The following is an 8,591-nucleotide window of genomic DNA, read 5'->3' as shown; positions in this document are numbered from 1 at the left end:
AGCCAATCGGGCCTTTAACTGATCTAGGTGACCCTATGTTCCAGAAACACCCTGACAAAGTTGATTTAACTGTTCCTCTACCATTCTTAGTTTCTAAGCCCCGGCTACAAGGACATCATCTTCAACCCAGCCTAATGTCTATACTAGGTGGAGTACATCATTTCCTTAACCTCATCCAGCCTAAACTAGCCCAAGATTGTTGGCTATGTTTAAAAGTAAAACCCCCTTATTATGTAGGGTTAGGAGTAGAAGCCACTCTTAAACGTGGCCCTCTATCCTGTCATACACGACCCTGTGCTCTCACACTAGGAGATGTGTCTGGAAACGCTTCCTGTCTGATTAGTACCAGGTATAACTTGTCTGCTTCTCCTTTCCAGGCTATGTGTAATCAGTCCCTACTTACTTCCACAAGTACCTCAGTCTCTTACCAAGCGCCTATCAATACCTGGTTGGCCTGAACCTCAGGTCTCACTCGCTGCATTAATAGAACTGAACCAGGACGTCTCTTGTGTATGTTAGTTCATGTTCTTCCCCAAGTATACGTGTACCGTGGACCAGAAGGACAACTCCTCATCGCTCCCCCGGAATTACATCCCAGGTTGCGCCGAGCTGCCCCACTACTGGTTCCCCTCTTGGCTGGTCTTAGCATAGCTGGGTCAGCAGCCATTGGTATGGCTGCCCTGGTTCAAGAAGAAACTGGACTAATGTCTTTGTCTCAACAGGTGGATGCTGATTTAAGTAACCTCCACTCTGCCATAGATATACTACATTCCCAGGTAGAGTCTCTGGCTGAAGTAGTACTTCAAAACCGCTGAGGCTTAGACCTGCTATTCCTCTCTCAAGGAGGATTATGTACAGCTCTAGGAGAAAGCTGTTGCTTCTATGCCAATCAATCTGGAGTCATAAAAGATACGCTCCAAAAAGTTTGAGAAAATCTAGATAGGCGCCAACAAGAACGAGAAAATAACATCCCCTGCTATCAAAGCATGTTCAACTGGAACCCCTGGCTAACTACTTTAATCACTGAGTTAGCTGGACCTCTCCTCATCATACTATTAAGTTTAATCTTCGGTCCTTGTATATTAAATTGGTTTCTTAATTTTATAAAACAGCGCATAGCTTCTGTCAAACTTAAGTATCTTAGGACTCAGTGTAACCCCCTTGTCATAACTGAGGAATCAATGATTTGATTCCCCAAAAACACAAGTGGGGAATGTAATACCCAACCTTGTTTTTTCCTTATTCACCTGGCCTTGTTTCTCCCTTGGCTAAGAGAACCAGACAAACTCCATCTTGGCTCTTTCACTGGCAGCCCCTTCCTCAAGGACTTAACTTGTGCAAGCTGACTCCCAGCATATCCAAGAATGCAATTAACTGATAAGATACTGTGGCAAACTATATCCACAGTCCCCAAGAATTCGTCTGATTAATAACACCCAAAGCCCCACGTCTATCACCTTGTAATAGCCTTAAAGCCCCTGCACCTGGAACTGTTTACTTTCCTGTAACCATTTATCCTTTTAACTTTTTGACTACTTAACTTTGGTAAAATTGTTTTAACTAAACCCCCCCTCCCCTTCCTAAACCAGGATATAAAAGTTAATCAAGCCCCTTCCTCGGGGCTGAGAGAATTTTGAGCGTTAGCTGTCTCTCGGTCACCGGCTAATAAAGGACTCTTAATTCATCTCAAAGTGTGGCACAACAATATAACCCATATATTTAACCATTTATTTAATAAATATACATATATATGTAAATATATGTATATACATACTATATATATTTAAAAGAAATTTATCCTTATTTTTCTTTCCTGGGATTTTAGTTTTTGAGAAATTTTTTTTTTTTATTCTCAGTCAACTGAATTGTTTAATATGCCCATAAAAAGACTTCAGCTGGCAGAGCAACACAAGTGGCTGGCTGATGCAAGCAGTCGGAGATACAAGCTGTTGAGCATTGGGGATACAAGCTGCTGAGTGTCAGAGACTATGGATAGACAGGTAGACACAGCTAACTTCAGACGGTGCAGCTTCAGGGAAAGATCACCTTCCCTCATAATCTCCTTTCCAACTAGAAACCTGCTAAGAGCTACTTTTATTGCCCAATAAAAATCCTCCACATACACTATCCTTCAATTCATTCATGTGACCTGATTTTTCTTGGATGCCAGACAAGAACCCAGGTACTGAGAGGGCAGGGGCTTGGACGTTTCTCCCCCCAGAGAGGAGTGACCAGCCGGTTCCAGCATTCATTCCCTCTGGTTCCTGCACTCGCTTGCATACTCCCTTTTGTGAGAAGTGGCCAAGAGCAGAGCGAGCTGAGTGAAATGAGTCACTACATTTCCCACCCATGAAGGGGGTTAGGGTCAAGGGAACAATCCTGTCTCATCTGGGGGCCCATATGGGATACGAGAAAGGGTAAGTTAAAATGTGGAACTGTTGAATCTGTCTCTCTTCCAATAAACTGCCACCTCTCTCTTTCTTTTGGGTAAAAGGAATGTTGGTTCTGTTCTCCTTCATGGAAGTCTAGCCGGTCTGAACCGTGGGAGGGATACAGTGATTAAAAAAAACCATTTGCACAGAGCAAGAGGCTTTTTCTTCTCCCAGGTCCCCTACCCCGACCTTAAGCACTTTAAGCTTTCTTTTCTAAGCAAGAGGATTCTCTTCATACCTCAGCAATCTGCTTGTGATAGGGAGGCAACAGAGGAGCAACCCCTGCTGGCTGTTACTCATTAATTTGGAAAAGCCCATCTGGGACTTAATCTAAATGAATCCATGCAGCCCCTGAAATGCCTTTTTTCTGTCTCAAACTCAGTTCCAAGATTTAGCTTGAGGGCCTGGAGAGGAAAAACAGATCTGAGAGATCCAAAGCCAGGCAACAAGCACAGTGTAAATGGGCAAGGCCAATTCCTGACAATTAAACCCCTGCATCAGGGAGGGAGGGCATGTTCCATAGCATAAATGAGGCCCAGGGAACTCAAAGGTTGTCAACAGTAGGGGAGGTAGAGGCATAGGTGAGTGTGGATAATTCCTTTTCTCTAGGCCCTCCCTGCTTCATGGGTGCAAGCTGCATTCGCAACCATGGGTGGCACCTGCTAAGGTCGCCAGGACTGCAGGACATGAAGACAGAAAGGAAAGGCAGGACTCCCACTTCCTCTCTCCCTCACAGCCCAGGTTATTGCTGAAAGAAAGAAGGAAATTGAGGAGCACCTAATTCCCTGTCCTTCAGAATGAGCAACCCACAAACTTCACCACGTCCAGTTTATACTCAGAAATGGACCCTGGGACAAGATAGTACCTTAGAGAAACTCCTGAAAGTGGCCACCTTAGTTTTTCTGACACAAAAAGGAGGGAGAAGCTTTAATAGCCAGGATGTAAGCCCACAAACCCCAGAATTTCTAAGATTCACCTGTTAACTGCTACAGATGTGGCAAGAGCAGCAATCCCTCTCATAAAGTTTAAATACAAGGTTTAATTTCTTTCACCATGGTGAGACAGCTTGGGGTACAGTGTTGTTAGCATATTTTATTTCTTTTCTATAATCTTTGCCACAAGATTCTTCCTTTGTCTAATACACATATTTGACACTTGCACACTTAACCTTTGAAAACAAGGCCTGAGATAACTCTCTTTCAACTTTCTCATCAGATACAGTAATTTTTTTTTTTTCCCACAGGTTCTAATTGCTGTTGTGGCCTGATGCTAAAAATGTTTATCATAAAGATCTAAAGAAATGTTTTGTTCCTATGTAATATTCTGTGCTCTTGGCTTTAAATTGTTCCTTGAGGCTGGGTGAGGTGGTTCACGCCTGTAATCCCAGCAATTTTTGCAGCTGAGGCAGGCGGATCATTTGAGGCCAGGAATTTGACACCAGCCTGGCCAACATGTTAAAACCCCACCTTTACTGAAAATACAAAAATTAGCCAGGTATGGTGGTGCTTGCATGTATTCCCAGCTACTCAAGAGGCTGAGGAGAATCGCTTCAACCCAGGAGGTGGAAGTTACAGTGAGCAGAGATCACACCACTGCACTTCAGCCTGGGTGATAGAGCCAGATTCTGTCTCAAAAAAAAAAGTTCCTTGAAACTGAAAATTTTCACTTATGACCAAGGACACACTCTTCTTATGTCTAAATAGGCTCCCCATAGGGAAAAACAATCACACTACAGAGGCTCTTTTTTTTTTTTTTTCTTTTTGGTAACTAGACTAAACACAGTTTTATTTTTTATTAAAATAATCCTATGACATTGTTACTAACTTTTGGTTTGCTTAAGAAAAACGAGATTAATTTTTTTAATTAAGTTTTTTACATCTCTGTAACTTTCTTTATTGCTTTTAAAGTGCTTATGCTGTTAAGTTGCAGGGCTTTGACTCCTATGTCTAAATAGGACACCGACTCCTGCTAAATATTAAACACTGGCAGCAGTTAAAGCCTCATCTTCAAACCCAGGTGAAGATGACAATCAAAATAAACTGCTTTCATGAGACACAGGGCCAGAAGTTGAAACTATTCAACCCCTCCAGGCCCAGGGATTATCATGGAAGAGACAGGCACAGGAGACTATAAGGGCTAATTTTGAGACAGAAAATTAGTTTGGATTTTCTCTATAAATTAAACATTAATATCAAAGGCACAATGAAACAAGACAAGCATCTGGGCCCCTGTGTCAGATTAACAAGATTTTCTTGGAGCATTAACCAACTTAAAAAATATCATAAAAGGTTATAGAGACATTCATGGAAATTATATCTTGTGGTCAAGATGATTAAAATTTAATAGCTTTGTTTATAACATTTGAGAGACAAAATTAATTGGCCTCATGCTGTCTTTATTAGGACTTACTGTTTGAAAAATTAAGTCTACTCAAAGAATAAAGGTTTTAGACTTTTTTTGTGAACTCTTTGGGTTATCACTTTGGCTAAATGAATGACTTATTTTACAATGACCTGTGATCCTATTTTGTGATATCAGTGTTTTAAAATTTTTATACCTGATAAATTTTCAAATCAAATTCCGAAGTTTGTCCTTTAGACTTCATTAATTTTTTTTTTTAATATCATGTCCCCTTAAGTCCAAAAGAGACATGTTTGGTTCACTTAGTGTAATAAAATCATATAGGAGGCATTTTCAAATATGAAATGTTGTTTAATCATCTTTGAATTAAAGTTATATGAATGCATTAGTAGTATGTGTTTCAAAATCGTGTGATATTCCTATGATTGTGATACATCTTAGTATATTTTTTCAGAAGTAATTATGATTGCCATGTAAAATTGTTATATGCCACAGAAGTAATCAGATTTCTTTGTTAACTGTGTCTTCAACCATGGATGTTCTATAATTTTTATGATCCATAATTGTTGTTTCACTTTGATCCTTTTATAGGGCAGCTTATAATCATCTATAGATATCTGAGGAGTACTCTTAAATACAGGTTTCTGATCACTTTAGAGACAGACTGCCATTAAAATAGAAAAAATAACTTTCAGGACTCTCATGGAAAGCTGATGTATTCATGAGGATCGTTGATCCAATACTGAGCAGAACAGAAATAAATTGCATGGGCTCAACTAATAGAGTACTAAAATAATCTTTTATGACTTTTTAGTTAAAAAATTTGCTAATTCTTTTTGTTTTGTTTTTCAGAGTCAGGAAAACTTTTTCTTCTTTCAAGCTATTTGCAATTTTTGACAATTGAATAAAATATACTCTTATGAGCAAATTTTAAAATTTAATTCTTTTCTCCCTACCCAATTTCTTCAAAATTTCAGAGAGTGAGAGTATTCTTAATTTTTGACAATATAGTTATTTGCATAAGTTTTATAAGAATCTGTTTTATGGGCCGGGTGACGTGGCTTATGCCTGTAATACCGGCATTTTGGGAGGCCAAAATGGGTGGATTGCCTGATACCAGGAGTTCAACACCAGACTAGCCAACATGTCAAAACTGGTCTCTACTGAAAATATAAAAATTAGCTAGGCCTGATGGTGTGTGCCTGTAATCCCAGCAACTTGGTATGCTGAGGCACGAGAATTGCTTGAATCCAGAAGGCAGAGGTTGCAGTCAGCTGATATCACACCATTGCACTCTGCTTGGTGACAGAGCAAGGCTCTTTCTCAAAAAATAAAAAAAAATATATGTTTTACTTTATAACAAGGCATAATTGGAGTCACTGGTTATATTACCAAGGCTTTGAGTAAAATGGAATACTTTTAGATTGCCTTGAGAAAATGAGTCTGACCTATAGAGCTGATAAAAGTTCTTTGGAAAAACTGGCCTTATACCTTTTCCTTTATAGATACCTGACTTGTGGTAAATAAAGAATGTCACTTTCTGGCAGGCCTAGGAACCCCAAGTTTTCCCCAGATCTCAAAAAAAGAGGAATACACCCAATTCATATAGGTATCTTCAGGCACAGATAAATCCTTGGTCGGGCTTGAGACTTTTAAAAAGATCCAGTCTTAGATTCCTTATGGAAAAGCTCCCTGCAAAGCCAATTAAAAAAGAGAGAGAGAGAGCCTATATGGCAAATATTATTCTTGCTGAACCTTATGCAAATAATCAAACCAAGTGACAGAGCAGGAGCACTATCATCTTGGAAAAACACCGCCATTTTAAGTTCCAGCTCCCTTTCTAACCTCATGCATTTGAAATAATTTCTAACAACAAGCAGCCAAAAAGAGCAGACAGGAAATCACAGGTAAAACAGCTCAGGCGGGGAAGGAGGGGGCAAAGTCTCTTGGATAACCACCAAATTTCACACTCATACAATGGGCCCCAGTAAAACTGTGGACCCTAATAAGCACATTCCTTTCCCTTTAGGTGCATTAAGATAGGGAAGCTAAAAGCATACTCAGAGGGTATGCCTGCAGCTGCAGGAAAATGTATGAGAACCAACACACAACTCTCCCTCCCAGATAAGCAAGACAGACACAAAAACATTGCAAGCCTGTGATAATCTCTACAGAATTGAACCCTTAAATACTCTTAGTCTGGTAAGAGAGAATGCTCCTGACCTAACTCAGCAGGAAGTCCTTCTCAGGTTTATTCTTTTCTTTTAAAAAAAAAAATATTATACTTTAAGTTCTGGGGTACATGTGCAGAATGTGCAGGTTTGTTACATAGGTATACACTTGCCATGGTGGTTTGCTGCACCCATGAACCCGTCATCTACATTAGGTATTGGTCCTAATGCTATCTCTCCCCTAGTCCCCCATATCCCGACAGGCCCCTGTGTGTCCATGTGTTCTTATTGTTCAGCTCCCACTTATAAGTGAGAACATGTGGTGTTTGGTTTTCTGTTCTTGTGTCAGTTTGCTGAGAATGATGGTTTCCAGCTTCATCCATGTCCCTACAAAGGAAATGAACTCATCCTTTTTTATGGCTGCGTAGTATTCCATGGTATATATGTGCCACATTTTCTTTATCCAGCCTATCATTGATGGGCATTTGGGTTGATTCCAAGTCTTTGCTATTGTGAACAGTGCTGCAATAAATATACGTGTGCATGTGTCTTTTTAGTAGAATAATTTTTAATCCTTTGAGTAATCCATTACTGGGTAAAATGGTATTTCTGGTTCCAGGTCCTTGAGGAATTGCCACACTGTCTTCCACAATGGTTGAACTAATTTACACTCCCACCAACAATGTAAAAACATTTCTGTTTCTGCACATCCTCACCAGCATCTGTTGTTTCCTGACTTTTTAATGATCGCCATTCTAATTGGTGTGAGATGGTATCTCATTGTGGTTTTGATTTGCATTTCTCTAATGACCAGTGATGATGAGCTTTTTTTCATATGTTTGTTGGCTGCATAAATGTCTTCTTTTGAGAAGTGTCTATTCATATCCTTTGTCCACTTTTTGATGGAGTTATTTTTTTCCTTTTAAATTGTTTAAGTTCTTTAAAATAAACCAGTCTTTGATGGTTGAGCCACTTTTCATCTCTCTTTCCTCTTTGTTTAACACTTACACCAAGTATAATTAGACTAAAACTTATTTTACAAATGAATTGGTCCTATTATGATTTTGTCTTTAATAAAATTGGGGAATTGAAAAGAGAAAAGTAATGTTTCAAAATAAACTATAGTTCACCTGTTATTGGATTCTAGTCTCATCCAATGTTGTACAGTTCTTATTATTTTCTACAGTTTGGACTGAATCCTAAAACTTATCCTGACCACAAATCTCCAAAATAATGTTTTTAATTTTTTCCTTCTTTTTTTTCCATTTTTGTGAATTGGAAATACTAAATCTAGACAATTTAAATGTTAGAAGAAAATAACTGTTTTTTATATATACATATATATATATACACATATACATAAAACCATTTTCTTACATGCCTACTGGTTTATGGACTTCACAGTAATATGGCTTATATTAGCTTTCAGGATTGTTCTCCCTGTTTTGTTTGTTGTTTATCCTTTTCTCTCCCTCTTTTTTTTTTTTTTTTTTTGCTTCTTCCCCCTATTTTACTTCATAGGACCTTGTTTTTTTCACAACCTCCTAAAAATGAGCTTTTCTAACTATGTGGGACATATTCATCCAAGAATAAAGTGTCCTAGACTTGAGAGATCAACAAAAATCAA

General features: G+C 38.9%; 2 annotated features.

Annotated features, from left to right (window-relative positions):
* Positions 1,745-2,645: an enhancer, noted in NCBI's record as "OCT4-NANOG-H3K27ac hESC enhancer chr3:164050850-164051750 (GRCh37/hg19 assembly coordinates)". NCBI's record gives its function as "activates a minimal SCP1, AML or CMV promoter by ChIP-STARR-seq in naive H9 embryonic stem cells {active_cell/tissue: H9 hESC(naive)}" and the evidence as "EXISTENCE:reporter gene assay evidence [ECO:0000049][PMID:30033119]".
* Positions 2,646-3,547: an enhancer, noted in NCBI's record as "OCT4-NANOG-H3K27ac hESC enhancer chr3:164049948-164050849 (GRCh37/hg19 assembly coordinates)". NCBI's record gives its function as "activates a minimal SCP1, AML or CMV promoter by ChIP-STARR-seq in naive H9 embryonic stem cells {active_cell/tissue: H9 hESC(naive)}" and the evidence as "EXISTENCE:reporter gene assay evidence [ECO:0000049][PMID:30033119]".

This window comes from Homo sapiens, chromosome 3 (genome assembly GCF_000001405.40).
Source record: "Homo sapiens chromosome 3, GRCh38.p14 Primary Assembly".
Taxonomy (NCBI): domain Eukaryota; kingdom Metazoa; phylum Chordata; class Mammalia; order Primates; family Hominidae; genus Homo; species Homo sapiens.
Note: the sequence above shows the minus strand (reverse complement) of the source record. Positions and strands in the feature narration are given on the sequence as shown.